The 16,029-nt window shown below is 56.8% G+C and overlaps 1 protein-coding gene and 1 non-coding gene across 6 annotated transcripts in view, besides 2 other annotated features; both read right to left on the minus strand.

The window, feature by feature from the left end:
* MAD1L1 (mitotic arrest deficient 1 like 1) overlaps positions 1-16,029 on the minus strand; it is a 417,151-nt gene that overhangs the window by 272,249 nt on the left and 128,873 nt on the right. The gene's annotated exons all lie outside the window — the stretch shown is intronic.
* On the minus strand, positions 869-1,009 carry SNORA114 (small nucleolar RNA, H/ACA box 114). The gene has a single exon (NR_145797.1). It is a non-coding gene; the product is annotated as a small nucleolar RNA, H/ACA box 114 (small nucleolar RNA).
* Positions 12,416-12,465: an enhancer, noted in NCBI's record as "active region_25506". NCBI's record gives its function as "activates an Ori minimal core promoter by ATAC-STARR-seq in GM12878 lymphoblastoid cells {active_cell/tissue: GM12878}" and the evidence as "EXISTENCE:reporter gene assay evidence [ECO:0000049][PMID:35858748]".
* Positions 15,345-16,011: an enhancer, noted in NCBI's record as "H3K27ac-H3K4me1 hESC enhancer chr7:2143023-2143689 (GRCh37/hg19 assembly coordinates)". NCBI's record gives its function as "activates a minimal SCP1, AML or CMV promoter by ChIP-STARR-seq in naive H9 embryonic stem cells {active_cell/tissue: H9 hESC(naive)}" and the evidence as "EXISTENCE:reporter gene assay evidence [ECO:0000049][PMID:30033119]".

Here is a 16,029-nt window from a genome sequence, read left to right on the forward strand (position 1 = left end):
AGGAGAGTTAGAGAAGAAGAAGACTGGGACTCGGACCACACTGACTTCTCCCCTTTAAAAGTCTACACACAAAGCACCCGCACAGGCTGAGTGGAAATATGGGGGCCCACGTGCATGGCCACAGAACAGTGGACGAGGTCGGGCAGCAAAGCGACCTTGGATCACACATCGCGCCTCTTCACGCCTCCTCACACCCCTGCCTGAAACCTGCCGACGGGCCTGTTGCCGCTGGAACACAATCCAGGCCCCCATCACAGGCTGCGCCATCTGGTTACCAGCACGGTGGTCTCGTGCTACCCTGGTTCCGTGTCGGCGCCAGCCCTCCAACCTTCTGGCCCACACTGAGCCACCTATTCCCACCACAGCCCCCGCCCCGCTCCGTCCCACCATGGCAGTCTGAGCTCCACTGAACCCCAGAGAGGCTCCCCGCTTGCCTCCAGGGAACACCGCCCCAGCCTCGAGTGCCACCATGACAGCTCTGGAGCTGCCACTGCACGTGCACATCCATCTCCCTGGGAGGCCGGGGAGATCAGGACGGTGTGGCACAGCCTGGGGCACTCCCAGCACTCAGCAGTGGCCATGAGCGAGAGGCAGCAAGGGGACGGGTGGAGGGAGTGCCATCTGTCACACTCCATGCAGCTCTTCAGCCTGAAGGAAGGACACCGACGGAGCCGGGCCATCTCTCAAGTACAACCTAGACGCCCTCAACTCCATTTCCTGGGTGCCCCAAAGCACACACCAGATTCTCACCAGCAGTGAAGCCAAGTCCAGGGTCCACAGAGGAGTTGTGAAGGTTCACACAGGGCTGGTGCTCACCCTCTGCCACCGACCCGCACGCCTCCCACACAAGCTGCCAGGCCCACGGTGGGGGTTGTGCCTGCAGAAGGCCTCCGAGCCACGCATGCAGGCGCCTCACCCGGTGGCTGCCATGAGCCAGGACAGGCTATTCATTCTGCCCCACTCCACTGATGGCCTGAAGGTCACCAAGTTCAGGTCAAAGCAGGCAGGGATGGGTGTGCTTTGACAGGGAGAGCGGCTCACACGGCCGACTCGGGCCCTGCTGTGCAGCTTCCTCGAGACCACGCAAACAGGCAAGGAGAAGGCAGCCACGGAGACACAGCTCTCTGTGGCCAGTCCCAGGCACAGTGGAGGCCACAGCCAAGGTGATATGGTTTGGCTGCGTCCCCGTGGAAATCCTAACTGGAATTGCATCTCCCAGAATTCCCACAGGCTGTGGGAGGGACCCAGGGGGAGGTAACTGAATCATGGGGGCCCGTCTTTCCCATGCTATTCTCGTGATAGTGAATAAGACTCACGAGATCGGATGGGTTTATCCAGGCTTTCCACTTTTGCTTCTTCCTCATTTTCTCTTGCTACCACCATGTAAGAAGAGCCTTTTGCCTCCCACCATGATTCGGAGCCCTCCACAGCCATGTGGAACCATAAGTCCAATTAAACCTTTTTGTATTTCCAGTTTCAGGTATGTATCAGCAGCATGAAAACAGACTAATACACAGGGAAAGCAACCAAGCCCCAACACCTGTCCCTGGGGCCCACCGCACACGCCCACCCATCACGTGCATCGTGTTTAATCACACTTCCAATACCTGTCCCCGGGGCCCACCCCACACGCCCACCCCATCACGTGCATCGTGTTTAATCACACTTCCAACACCTGTCCCCGGGGCCCACCCCATCACGTGCATCGTGTTTAATCACACTTCCAAGTGCACACCTTCTAAAGGAACGGGCTTCCAAAACAAAGTGTCCAATAATCATGCTGTTCTGACATCCATCTCGAAGGCCAGGCTTAATTAAGGCCAGGCTAACACACACCTGCCATGAGATCAGAGTGGGCTGAAGGGCTGCTCTCCCCAGACCTTTCGAGCTGCAGAAGGAGCTCCGGCCAGGGACAGGGAACACCAACCCTAGTGATGTTGGTTTGCTACCAGCTATGCAACGAAAGCTTTGAGGGCAGGCGGACAAGGAAGAGTGACAGGAAACGGCAGGTTCCCTTGTCAGGAATGGCATGGTCGTGTTTAACTTCATTAGGAAGAAGTCATTCACCGCCAGGGACTCCTCACCAAACACATCCAAATGGTCGGTAAGGGGCCTCAAAGGCTAGTGCCGAGCAGGCACCACCCCTGGGGTTCTAAGGTGGAGGTGAGAGAAGGGTAGGCCAGAAGACAAAGCAGGTCCACTGAGTCACCGGCGCTCGGGGAGGGGCCAGGTCCACTGCCAGTTGAATCTGGTTCTGCGGTCGCTTGCTTTGGGGAACTCAGGCAAGCGTCCTGAACACTTCAAAACCTCCCAATGATCCTTACCTCAGGGGTTTTTAAAGTAAATTTTGATTTTGATTTTGGAACGACTAGGTGTACAGAAAAGTTGTCAGGACAGTACAGTGAGTTCCCAGGAACCCAGCCTCCCAGTGCAAGCACTGGAACGGTGTCACGAACGGACCTGGGACTCTGCCTGGACAGCACCAGTGTGTCTGTCCTTCAGCGTCCTTGTTCCTTCCCAGGGTTGGATCAGGGTGCCATTAGTTGCCACACCTCCTGAGTCTCCTCTCATTTGTCAGCCTTTCCTTGTTTCTCATGGACTTGGCAGTTCTGAGCAGGACTGGCCCAGGCAGGCCCCCCGCAGGGTCAGGTGTGTGTTGAGGCTGGACTGGAGCTACAGGTCTGTAAAGAACCACAGACGCAGCGTCCCCATCATCCCTTGGAGCCCGGGCGGGGCCCTCATCGCTCCGGGAAGGTGCTGCCCACCAGGCCCCTCCAGGCAGGCAACGTTACCTTTTGGGTACTCCACTCTTTGGAAGGAGGTCACGGAGCCTGGCCTACCCTAGGGGGATTAAGTTCCATCTCTTGAGGGCAGAGAACTACATCCATTTTATCTGCAATCCTTCCGGAGGGAGGAGCTGCATCTGCCCCATTGAGTCACGCCATCATTTATTTCGGTCAGCCTGATTCACCCGCGTTTATTTGACGCGTCGGGTTATAAGTCACTCCACTTCATTTTCTTGCTGCAAGTGTTTCGCCTTCAGCCACAGGAATGCTTTCCTCTGGCTCCTGTGTCCCATCCACACGCCCCATCCTTTTGGGTTTTCTGCATTTCCTTACTTTCTGGAACTAGAAGACACTCCAGGCTCCTCCTGTGTATTTCCTACCCCAGTCCTAAAACCAGGTATCTTTCCAAAGACGCCCAGGTCCTCCTACCGAGAACAGTGCTTGGAAGCCCTGCTCTGGGCCCCGGTCAGCTCCCTGTTGCTGGGTGTGCCTGCCTCCGGGCCCCGCAGCAGTACAGGTATGTGCCAGCCCTGCATACACAGACGCATCTGCCTGCAGTTCCTTCTGAATCTGTCTACTTGTGTTGAGCCAGTCAGGAGTTCATGCTGATGTCTGGCTGGGGTCTGGCTTTTCTCACTTAGAAAAATACATTCAAGATCCATCTGGCCGGACACGGTAGCTCACGCCTATGATCCCAGCACTTTGGGAGGCCGAGGTGGGCGGATCACAAGGTCAGGAGATCGAGACCATACTGGCTAACAGGGTGAAACCCCGTCTCTACCAAAAAATACAAAAAATTAGCCGGGCTTAGTGGTGGGCGCCTGTAGTCCCAGCTACTCTGGAGGCTGAGGCAGAAGAATGGCGTGAACCCAGGAGGCGGAGCTTGCAGTGAGCAGAGATCACGCCACTGCACTACAGCCTGGGCGACAGAGCGAGACTCCATCTCAAAAAAAAAAAAAAAGATTCATCTATGTTGTTGTATGATCGATACCTTGTCCCATTCTCTCACTGAACAGGATTCCATTGCACAAATGTACTAATTTGTTTATCTGTTCCTCTGTTACAGGGTGTTGTGGTGCTTCTGGTTTTTAGTTAACTATGAATAAACCTGCTATAAACACGCACATTCAGGTCTCTGTGTGGACACAATTTTCAATTCCCGTGGTTAAGAGCCCACAGACAGGGCCATCAGGTCATACGATAAGACCGTGTTTGGCTTTGTAAAAAGCTGCCACGCTGCCTCAAAGTGGTGGCACCATTTTGCACTCCTCCCAGCAGTGCGTGAGAGTTCCTGTGGCTCCACGTCTCCACCAGCATTTAGTGCCGTCAGTGATCTTACAGTTTTTAGCCATTCCCACAGTGTGTGGCCATGTCTCATGGTTGTACTAATTTGCAATCCCCCAAAGACAAATACTCCTGAGCATCCTCTTTTTATTTTTTAATTTCTGAGACAGGGTCTCTCTCTGTCTCCCAGGCTGGAGTGCAGTGGTGTGATCACAGCTCACTGCAGCCTCAAATTCCCAGGTTCAAGCAATCCTCCCACCTCAGCCTCCTAAAATGCTAGGATCACAGGTGTGCATGACCACGCCCCACCCAAGCATCCTCCCTCACGCATCTGCCCTCTGGATATCGGTTGACTGTCTTTTCAACCACGCCCCGCCTAAGCATCCTCCCTCACACACCTGCCCTCTGGATATCGGTGACTGTGTTTTCAACCATGCCCCGCCCGAGCATCCTCCCCTCACACACCTGCCCTCTGGATATCAGTGACTGTCTTTTCAGACATTTTGCCCATCTTTCAATTAGGTTGCCTGTTTTCCTATTATTGAGTTTTAAGAAGGCCTTATATATTCTGGATACCAGTTATTTGTCAAATATCTGACTTGTAAATATTTTCTCCCATTCTGTGGTTTGTCTTTTCGTCCTCTTAACAGTATCTTCCACAGAGCAAGAGTCTTTAACAAGGCAAATTTATCAAATTTTTTCTCTTATGGATTTCCTTTCAGTGTTATACCTAAAAACTCATCGTCCAACCCCAGGGCACACAGATTTGCTCCTCTATCTTCCTCTAGCAGATCAGAGGGCCTTCTTCATGGGTAACCAGGTAATGCATATAAAAGCATTTGGGCCGAGTGCAGTGGCTCACACCTGTAATCCCAGTACTTTGGGAGGCTGAGGCGGGTGGATCACGAGGTCAGGAGTTCAAGACCAGCCTGGCCAATATGGTGAAACCCCGTCTCTACAAAAAAAAAAATATATACAAAAATTAGCTGGGGATGGTGGCACAAACCTGTAACCCCAGCTACTCGGGAGACTGAGGCGGAAGAATCGCTTAAACCCAGGAGGCAGAAGTTGCAGTGAGCCAAGATAGCACCACTGCACTCCAGCCTGGGGGACACAGAGAGACTCCGTGTCAAAAAAAAAAAAAAAAAAAAATTCAGAGGGAGGGCAGTACATAGCCAAAAAGTTATGTTTTAAAAGAATATTTAACATGGAAAATGTTCACAAAAGATTAAACAAAACAAGATGACTCAGTAAATAGTGCATGCAGTATTTTCTCCTAAAATCCCATTAGAAAAACATGTTCCATGTATATAAAAATGCCAGGAAGGATCCTGGCCAAAACAGTCACAGCAGCTTTCCCTGGGAAGAGGGACGACGGGAAACCTTTCTTCTCAGCTTTGCTGTCTCCTCCACATTCTCGAGTGTTCTGAATCAAAGTGTGTTGCTTTTGTAATCAGACTCAGAAAGGAATTCAAATAAAATGCTGACATCCCCTTCGCTCTCCTCCTCCTTCCTTCCAGGTGTGGGAACACAGCTCACAGAATGTGGGGAAAGCAGATCCGGCGAACCTAGAAGAGGAAGTGGCCCCCAAGACAGCTCCGTCTCATCCACCCCTATGAGACACACTGGCACTGGCTGGGCAACGCACGGGAGAGTCCACAGCTGCGCTCCATCAGCCAGAGGAGCACGGAACGCGGAACCCAGGAACGCAGACAAAGCCACTGTGGGGCACGGGGCAACAGACAAGGAGAGGCTCCATCAGCTGAAAAGCCTCAGGTGACGATGTCAGGTCGGCAGTCGGAACCCCCAGAAGCTGCTCCCGAACTCATGACAGCAAGGCAGGGAGAGGACAGGAACCTCAGAGCCACAGCATCCACACAGAGCTCTCAGGCCACGCGGGCGCAGACGGTCGTCTGTGCAGCTTGCAGGGCCAAGGAAAGCAGAGGCCAGGGAGGACAGCACTGGTGAGTGGGGAGCCCGCTGGGAGCACACGCCCAGCCATGAGCAAACTCACAGCCCTTGCTGAGCTGCTGGGAACAGGTGGCCTCAACGCCAGCCACAAGGGACAGCCCTCCCAGGAGGCTGAGCAGGGACCCACCCATGGTCAGTGTGGAGGAGTGTGTCCCTAAAGGGCTCCCAGTGGCCAGCACTCCCTCTGGATGCAGAATCCCTCTGGATGCAGAATCCACAGCTCTCACATCGGGAACGGGACACGCACTCACCCACACTCTCGACAGAGGATGCCCGAGCACCCCTGTGTGTTGGAACCTGTTCACAACACTGCTGAGGAGGCGCTACCCTTCAAGTGACAAGACGGATGAGAAATAAGACACAAAAAACCAAAGTCTATAATGTGCTTGACGGGAAAAAGTGACAGCAAGACAGGGAACAGACAGTCATGATGTTTCACAGGTGGGCAGGGAAGGCCCACGAGGAGGTAACAGTTGTGAAAGACAGGAAGGAAAGTCAGGAAGGCTGCTGCTATCCAGACAGGGTGCTCCAGAAAGAGGACTGGCCAGTGCAAAGGCCCTGGGGCAGGAGCGGGGCTGGCAGGTGAGAAGGCCCCGGGACAGGAGCGTGGATGGCAGGTGCAAAGGCCCCGGGGCAGGAGCACAGCTCGCAGGTGCAAAGCAGCAAGGGGGAAGGACTCCAACCAACGAAACCACATGACCCATCTACATAGAGACCAAACACGGCAAAAGTGACCCAGGGCGATGGGAACTGGGTGGGAGTTCCAGGAACAGGAAGTGGGGGGGCAGGAGGGACTCAGCTGATCACGCTGTTTCCTGACCGGGTGATGGTGATGCCGTGTTCATGGATAATTTGTGCAGCTCTCTATATACACACTACATACACTACAGTGAAACATGAGCAAAATGAAGTTTTTCAAACTGAGCAATCATTAAATAGTAAATATATATATATATATCTCCCCATATTTTTTTTTGAGGCAGAGTCTCGCTCTGTCGCCTAGGCTGGAGTGCAGTGGCTCCATCTCAGCTCACTACAAGCTCCGCCTCCGGGGTTCACGCCATTCTCCTGCCTCAGCCTCCCAAGTAGCTGGGACTACAGGCACCCGCCACCACGCCTGGCTACATTTTTTTGTATTTTTAGTAGAGCCGGGGTTTCACCATGTTAGCCGGGATGGTCTCGATCTCTTGACCTCGTGATCCACCCGCCTCGGCCTCCCAAAGTGCTGGGATTACAGGCATGAGCCACGGCGCCCAGCCTGCAAGAAATATTTTAAAATAAAATGTTTTTGGAAAGATAAAAAAAGAAAAGAAAAGAAAAAGCCAAGCACACATCCCTTTATCCACACACCCTTAACTTCAAATAGCAGAAGAGATGCAAAGCAGCCTGAGTGGGTTAGCGCGGCTCCCAGGCTGCAAACGGAGATGGGCAGTGCTGAAGCCGCGGTCGCTGTTAAAGAGAAGGGCAGCGTAACCAGAGGGGAGATAGTGCGTGCTGTGGCTGTTGCTAAACAGAAAACGCAAGGAGGCGAGGTGGACAGCAGCAATGCTGGGCAGGGTGGGGCGAGGCAGCACTTCCTCCCTGAGCCGCTGTCATCACCTGCCTACTGCGAGAGGGGCACAGGGACACACAGGCGCACAAGGCTCAGCCGGCGGGGCCAACGCAGGGAAGCCGTGAGGAGAGGAGGGCAAGGACAATAGGGACAGCTGTGGGTGCAGGCCGGACACCCCAGCCGTCTCTAAGGGGAAGGGCAGAGTGCATCCACGCACACTTGCCGGCAGCCCTAGGGTGGGTGGGGGTGCCTGAAGGAGAGAGGCGAGGTGTCTCCCTCAAGGGAGCTTTGCTTCTGTGAAGGAAGGAGAGCGCGGGTCCGCGGGGAGACACAGCAGGAGAGACGGGGTCCCTCATGAGCCTCAGGGTCGTTAGAATCGGGCTCCCCCAGGCCTGATCAGGACTCAGTCACGTAATGACAGCTCGCAGCCCACAAACAGGAGAAAGCAAGGCCGGCGGCCAAGGTGGCCTCTGGGTAAGGCCATCAGAGCACACGACGCCACACAGGCTGTGCTCAGAAGAAAGGTGAATTCCAGATGAGGACAGGGAGGGTCCTGAGGGACCAGCCTCCAGGACACTTGCCAGCCACAAGGTCGTCCTCGTCGGACACAAGGGCTCCCAGGAGGAAAGGGCCCTGTGATCCCAGGGAGAACTCACACAAAGACCCAGTCCTCCGGCGCAAAGAGCTGTGGTGCTGACCCTCTGCGCCTGCACACATCTGGGGGTGGCGGGGCTCATGCCTGCAATCTGGCTCTGGGCACACATGAGCCTGGCCGAACCTCAGTGCGGACTCGGCTTTCACTCTCAAAAGCCAGGTCTCCTCCTACGCTGCTTTTCCACAGAGCTTTGAATTTGTTAGCTGCCTTCATGGGACCAGGGGACTCTTCTATTTTATTCTGTGTGTGCATTGGGCAGGGCGGGGCGGGCACTGAAACAGCTCTCCAAGGGGCATCTGAATTGAAGACTTCGAGGACAGCTTCCCCCGCTACAGCGAGACCCTACAGCTCCTCGGCAGAGGACAGGAGGAACGAGGCCAGACTCAGCCTCAGAGAACCTTCCTGCATGTGTCTCAGGCAAACTCGTCAACTCAGGCCCCTTCACGAGGCCCAGCCACAGACATAAGGGAGGGGGCAGGCTGCAGCTGCCCCACGACCACCACCACCCCGCCCAGCAGAGGCTGGGGGCACAGACCCATGGTACAGCCCGACAGCAGAGGACGCTGGCCCAGGCGTGGGCCCCACCCTCATAGCCGGTGACCCCCGGCCAGCAGGTCTGCCACTGTACCTCCAGGCTGCCACCCACAGGCGGGCACCCTCCAGGACTGCCAGGAATGACAGCGCACCCGGGGACCCTGCCAGGCACAGAAAGCAAGCAGTGGACCACAGTTGACATGGTTATGATAAACGCACCACGGGTATCCCCCACACCAGCTGCAAGGCGGGAGATGTGAAAGGGGAAGGGGGCAGCCTCCAGGCTCCTGGCTCCACCACACCCCATGGCACCCAGGCACAGGCTCACCCTACTCGGCTCCACCACGCCCCACCCCACGGCGCCCAGGCACGCGCTCACCCCTCTTGGCTCTGCCACACCCCACCCCACGGCACCCAAGCACGCGCTCACCCCACTCAGGCCTCAACGTCCTTGTTTCCGGGACACACAAGAGGAGATGACCGCTAAGGCCTCCTCAGCCAAGACCAAGTGGACAGGACTCAAAACCAGCCCAAAATCCAAAGCAGCACAATGCAGGCAGCGAGGACGTGGGGGCCAGAGCCGGGACACCTGGGGAGGGGGTCTCACTCCGCCCAGGCCTCAGACAGGCGACTGCTCCAATTCATCTCAGTCCACACCACTGAGAAAGCAATGGGGCCGAGGAACAATGGGTCCGAGAATGCCAAGGAACCCAAGCTGGGAGCCAGGCAGTGAATGAGAAAGTGCTTCTCACACCTAGAGAAGCTATGAGGGTGAGAACCCAGGCAGCAGGAGGTGCGGACACCCACAGCCACAGCCGGCCATCCACGGGCACCAGGCCTCTGGAGGTGCAGAAGGGCACGCCCCTGGCACAGGGGATGAGGCAAGAGACACACAGCAGCAGCAGGGGCTGCCCGGACCAGCAGGGAGTGGTGCTGAGTGGGGAAGGGAGACAGTGAGGCCTTGAGGCTGCAGAGGCGTCTGGGACCCCTGGGAGCAGCGCCTGCATCGAGACTCAGCCCATTCTGAGGCTCATGCCTGGGCAGTGTTCCTCAGCAAGGGACGAGGGCCGGGAAAGCAGAAGGGGTGCCCCTGCTGTAGGCTTCTGCACTCAGGTCTCCCAGACCAACGGGGAGGGCACGCTCAGCAGCGCGGTGTCGCACTGGATCAAAGTAAGACGGAACTGAGAGGAAGCTTCACCTCCAGCGGGAGGAAGGCAGCGGAATCACTCATGCGGCGGCTCCATGCCACACAGCTCTGTCTTCTCGGGGCACAGAGGACAGATCAGTGAGGACGCCCGCGACTTCAGACTCTGAAGACACACTTGGAATCACCTTGCTTTGGAGGACTCAAAATGACCTTGAGTCTTTGAGGCCCCAGGACTGGGGCTGACTGCACAGCGCCGTCCTCTGCCAAAGCCCCGTAGCACCAGAGCGCCAGTCACACACCAGGCCTCTGCGCAGAAGGCGCATGGCAAACACCCTCCGTCCACAGATGAGGCCTGCGCAGCACACGCCACGGGGACCCAGGTGCTCAGTCCAGACAGGAACAAGAGACCTCGGGCCCTAAACCCTGTGACAACCAGACACAAAGTGGGCAAGAGTCCCTCCCACTCACCGCAGAGATCCAAATAGCCAGGGTCCCTCTCCCCTGCTGCCTGGGGTCCCACCAACCATGCCGTACGCAGCAGCAGTCACCCAAGCCATCATGTGTATGGTCTCTTGCCTGGTTAACAAGTCAGGAAGGCTACGCTAAGGACGGCCCCCTCAAACAAATGGGCAGGGAGCACAGCACGGCAGACACGTCCATCCAGCACAGCCCTGGTCACGGAGGACACGGCACATGCAAGAGCCGCCTGCTGCCACTGCTCCAGGAGGCCCAAGGGAGCGCACTACCACACCCGATAGCTGCCCGGCATGAGCCAGAGGCAATGAAGATCTACACACCACAGGGCTCACACCACACGCCAGGCATCACGCACCAAGGCCCGGCGTCCCCAGAGGTGGGCCCAAGGGGAAATGGAGGAACAGAAGGAAAGCCCCTGGAGGGCCAAATAAAGGGGTCAGAAAAGACGCTACTCGAACTGGACCTCAAAGGCTGAGCTGGAATTTGCTAAGCCAAGAGGGCAGGTGGGAATTCTTATAGAGGAAACAACAGGAAGGTGCCGGAATGTCTGGGGATGGAGGGCACCCTGGCATGGACACGGAGGCCTCCTGACACGATGGGTGGCAAGGGTGACAGAAACACAAGTGACCCCAGTGCACGTGGCTGAAGAGGGTGAGCTTCACTGAGGCTCCTAAGCGCAGTGGTAGCACAGCCTCCCATGGTCCAGGAAGGAGCATCCCCCAACGCACCGCTAACACTGGTGACCAGACTCCACCCCGACCGCCAGGTCAACATGCAGCAGCCACAGCCTGTCTCACCTGGACCCACAGCCCCGCCTGCCCTGTGCACTCCGGCGCCCGGCCCACTGTGGAGGGTGCAGGTCAGGTGCTCGCTCTGTTCCTCAACAGGAGTTGTTTCCCGCAGCCCCTGCCGCCTTGGCTTCGTTAGCATTCAACAGCAATTTATTCCTCTCTCGCTGCCTTCTTTTGTGCAGCAGAGATAAGTAATGTTTCTAATCTGTGCTATCTCCCAGCTGCAAATGTTCAAGCACTTTTTTCTTTTTATTTAAAAAAATGAAATCTCATTTTAGATTTGCAAAAGAGACAGCTAGCAATCTTTACTGTACTAACAACCCGCCACCCAGAGGCCAGGCGGGAGCGTGGACGGAAGTGAGCGCATCGGGCTGGGAGACAGCCGAATCTCAGAAGTCAGCACTGGGAGATTCATTTCTCTTCTCTTCAAAAAACCCATTAGACGTGGTTCAGAAGAGGTACTCCTACCCGAGACCCAGGAAGCACCCGGGCCGTGGCTTCCTGTGAACAGTCCTCAGGCGTGAGCTCTCAACCCTGCAGGGAGGAGCCCCTGGTAGGCCATTCTGGCCATGAAACTATCCCCAGTGGGACTGGCTGCCGACTGTGAGGAGTCACCTCCCACCAGCCCAGCCCTCGATGCCCCAGGCATGACTCAGAAGAACCAGCACCAATGCTCTTGGTGTCATCTGGGCTAACCTAGCACATGGATTTTCAAACTTCTCACAGCTCAAGCCAAGGGGCTGGCTGTGAGCTCCTTACAGGTAGAGGTCATTCCTTACACTTCGCCCCCAGCCACACAAAGCCCAAAACCGTCTCAGGGACATGGGCATTTAATAACTACCTGTTGATGGATAAGGACATAGGTGAGAAGCAAATCCCAGGCAACCATTGAGGTTTGAGAGACAGGTGCACACTGCTTTACGACGGCCAGCGCAGTCAGCTGCAAGTACTTTCTGTTCCAGACCAGCAGGGAAAATGAGGAGGAAAAGGTCTCAAAGCCCAGCCTGTTTCTGAGCAGAGCTAGGAATCCCAGCTGACTAGATCTCCGCGTTCTCCTTTACTCTTGAAACTCTATGGCAGAAAGCACGGCCTTTTGACCTTGAGCCTTCTGACAGATAGTAAGAAGCATGCCACAGCCAGGCGCTTCTGAGCGTGAAGCACCTGCTTCCTGGAGGGGGTGCCACACTCCAGACATTACAATGCTGGTGCCTTGCTCTGTGGTACTGCCGCTTTGCTTCTGCTTTACCCTACCCACCTGCCCACCCGGCGCGTCTGCCTCGTCCTGGCAGGACAAGCCCTGAGCGGGCCCTGCACCATCTGCAGGCCTCCTGACACCTGAGAGCAGAGATGCTGTCCGTGTCCTGGGCCCTGGCTGCAAACCGGAAGGCGTCCTTGGAAACGGCCGCACTGGGCCAGCACACAGCAAGCAGGGAGAGTGGGAGCCGCGTCCACCCAAGCCCCAGGTCCTGGCCGCAAATCATCACTTCATCTTGGCAGCTCATTCTGTTTTTATCATCAGTTTTAAATAATTAAGCTGGCCCTGAAGGGGGTTGGAGGGTGGGAGGGGAACAGCTCGTTGCCCAAGGCCAAGCCCCAGCGACTGGAGGCGCGGCTCCAGCATGACTCCTGTCGGGAGGGGCGCAGGGGCCTCCAGTGCCCCCCACCTCCACTCTGCAGACACGCCTGACAACTTGACGTTGGTGTTAAAGTCGTATCATTTCTGTAACAGTGCAGTTATTAACGAAGCCTCATTTGCACGTGTCAGGGGAAGAGAAAAATCACCTAATTAACCACTTTCCCCATCAGCAAGAGGATGGGGGGAGTGCTGCCAATTTGTTTTCAACGGCTTCCTTCCCACCCTCAGAAACTTGCTCCCCTTCAATGGGAAAAAACTCATAATCCTTTGTCACAAGGGACTGGAAAAACCCTAGTTTCCACTGTGGGAACATTCATACACCAAAGAGGATGCGGGCTTTTGTGCTATGGGGTCTGCCCTGGGGGGAAGGGCCACAGCCACTGTGCCTGGCGCGAGACTGGGGCTCCACTCCTAAAGGGTCTCCATTCAGGTGGGTGGCATGAGACTGGGGCTCCACTCCTAAAGGGTCTCCATCCAGGTGGGTGGCATGAGACTGGGGCTCCACTCCTAAAGGGTCTCCATCCAGGTGGGTGGCATGAGACTGGGGCTCCACTCCTAAAGGGTCTCCATCCAGGTGGGTGGCATGAGACTGGGGCTCCACTCCTAAAGGGTCTCCATCCAGGTGGGTGGCATGAGACTGGGGCTCCACTCCTAAAGGGTCTCCATCCAGGTGGGTGGCAGGAGACTGGGGCTCCACTCCTAAAGGGTCTCCATCCGGGTGCCTGGCGTGAGACTGGGGCTCCATTCCTAAAGGGCCTCCATCCAGGAGGCTGTGCACCTGGACCCTGAGAGCCAGTAAAGAACAAAGACGCTTCTTCCCTCAACTTACCAAAGTGAGCAGCCTCTATGCTGCCACCCACCAGACTACCGGCTCCATGCTCACCAAAGTGAACAGCTTCTATGCTGCTCACCCACTAGACTGTTGGCTCCGTGCACACAGGGCCACAGCTGTCTCAGTCACCATCACAGCCCAAGCTGGCCCACGCCTGACACATGCTGGATAAACACATACCAGGCAGGAGAAGGAGGAGTGCAGTCCAGTGCACACAGGGGGCTCTGCAGCTGGGAAGACCCTGACTGGAGGTCTGAATCTGCCATGGGTGGGAGTGGGCAGATCACACAGCCTCGCTGACCTTGGACCCTCCTGTCTGACTCAGGACTGAGTCTCCCCAGCAGAAGAGGCTGAGAGCACAGGATAAGGTGAAAACGCAGGCTAGGTCCTGGCACCAGTCACAGGGCAGACTCTCAACAGATGCCAAGTCCTGCCACTGCACCCACCATCATCACCAACACTGCCACTGTCACCACAACCACCATCACCACCGTCACCGTCACCACCGCCACCGTCGCCACCGCCACCACCACCACCGCCACTGTCACCATCACCACCATCACTATCACCACCACCACCGCCACTGTCACCATCACCACCGTCACCATCACCGCCGTCACCATCACCATCACCACCGCCACCATCACCACCGTCACTATCACCACCGTCACCATCACCACCACCATCACTAGCACTCTCACCATGTCACCATCACCACTGTCACCCTCACCACCACTGCTACTGTCACCACTCACCACCACTGCTACTGTCACCACTCACCACTGTCACCAATAACCACCATCACCACCATTCTCACGTCACCATCACCACCACCGTCACCATCACAACTGTCACCATCACTCTCACCACATCCCCATCACCACTGTCACCATCGGTGACACCACGGTCTCCACCACCCTCGCACCATCATCGCCACTGTCACTATCTCCACTGTCACCAGCACTCTCAGGACCACTCTCCACACCATCACCACCGTCACCAGCACTCTCACCACGTCCCCACCATCACCACTGTCACCATCAGTGACACCACGGTCACCGCCACCCTCGCACCATCATGGCCGTCACCGTCTCCACCGTCACCAGCACTCTCAGGACCACTCTCCACGCCATCCTCAGCATGAGACGCATCCTTGTCACTCCAGAGACAATGCCCAGAGATGGCGTCTTCTCCTACCCACTCCTAAAGCGGGCCTCTCCTCAGGTGTATAAGGCACACGGAGAAAACAGGTTCGGCAGAGGTGGCACTGTCCCCTCTCAGGACATCAGCTCCACAACTCAGAGGAGGCAGCCTCCGTGATGCTGCCAACACCTGGGTCAGCGCTGGGTCAGGCCTGGCCACGCTGCCTGCCTGCTGGAGACGCGCGTCCTCTCCCACCTCAGGGCCCCTGCGCTTGCTGCTGCCTCTGCCTGGAACGGGCTCTCTCCCCTGCCCCTGCACCCTACAAAGGGGCAGCTCCGACCACGCTTCAGCTCTCAGCCCACATGGTGTGTCCAGAGGGAGGCCGTCCATCCGGCCACGCTGAGGGCCGGGTCGCAGCCCAAGCCATGGCTGCCCCGACGGGCCCTGCACACACAGTCATACCTGCGCTCCTGCACTCAGTGAAGGCCTGGGCCTGCCTGCCCCGCCGCTCAGTAGACGGCACATGGGACATCGCCATGCCTAGTGATGACGTTTCTGTTTGGAAGAAGTGGGTGAGCACCTGAGAGGACAGAGGGTGAGGCGATACAGCAGTGCAGCAGATCTCACCCGCCCCCGAGGCCACTGCACAGCGGCGGGGCTCTCGACCACCGTGCTCTTTGTTGGGCGGGGCAACCGCAGATGGGCCAGCACTGGGGCAAAGCCCACCACCAGGCAGCCCTGGGAGCCCCTGCGAAGGCCTCTCAGGAGCCGGGCAGCACAGCCAGAACACTGAGACTCGATCCCACAGGGGAGAAGGAGGGAGCGGCCACGAGGAGGAGCCAGGGAGGCGGCTACTCAGAGGGCAGGTGCTGTCCTCCTCCCTGCCCAGATCCCAGCAGTGTGGCATAAGCAGACCCCCTGAACCACTGTGCACGGAGTCCCTCCGCATCCCCAGGCAGAGGGACAGTCTCACAGGTGGTGTCCGGACTCTGGAGATGGGGTGGGAAAAGGCAAGGAATGCGGGGAGACCACCAGTTCTGATGCCACGCCATACAACACTCCACCCCGCTGGACGTCGGAGAAAGAGGCCCCCAGACACATGGCAGAGAATCAAATATGCAGCCGGTGTCTGGAAATCATTCAATGAAGGTAAGGAGTGTGCTCCTCAGCAGCCTGCCTTGAGCAAAAGCATCTCGTGGCAGATAAGTAATGATCAGAGCT

Source organism: Homo sapiens, chromosome 7 (genome assembly GCF_000001405.40).
Source record: "Homo sapiens chromosome 7, GRCh38.p14 Primary Assembly".
Classification (NCBI taxonomy): domain Eukaryota; kingdom Metazoa; phylum Chordata; class Mammalia; order Primates; family Hominidae; genus Homo; species Homo sapiens.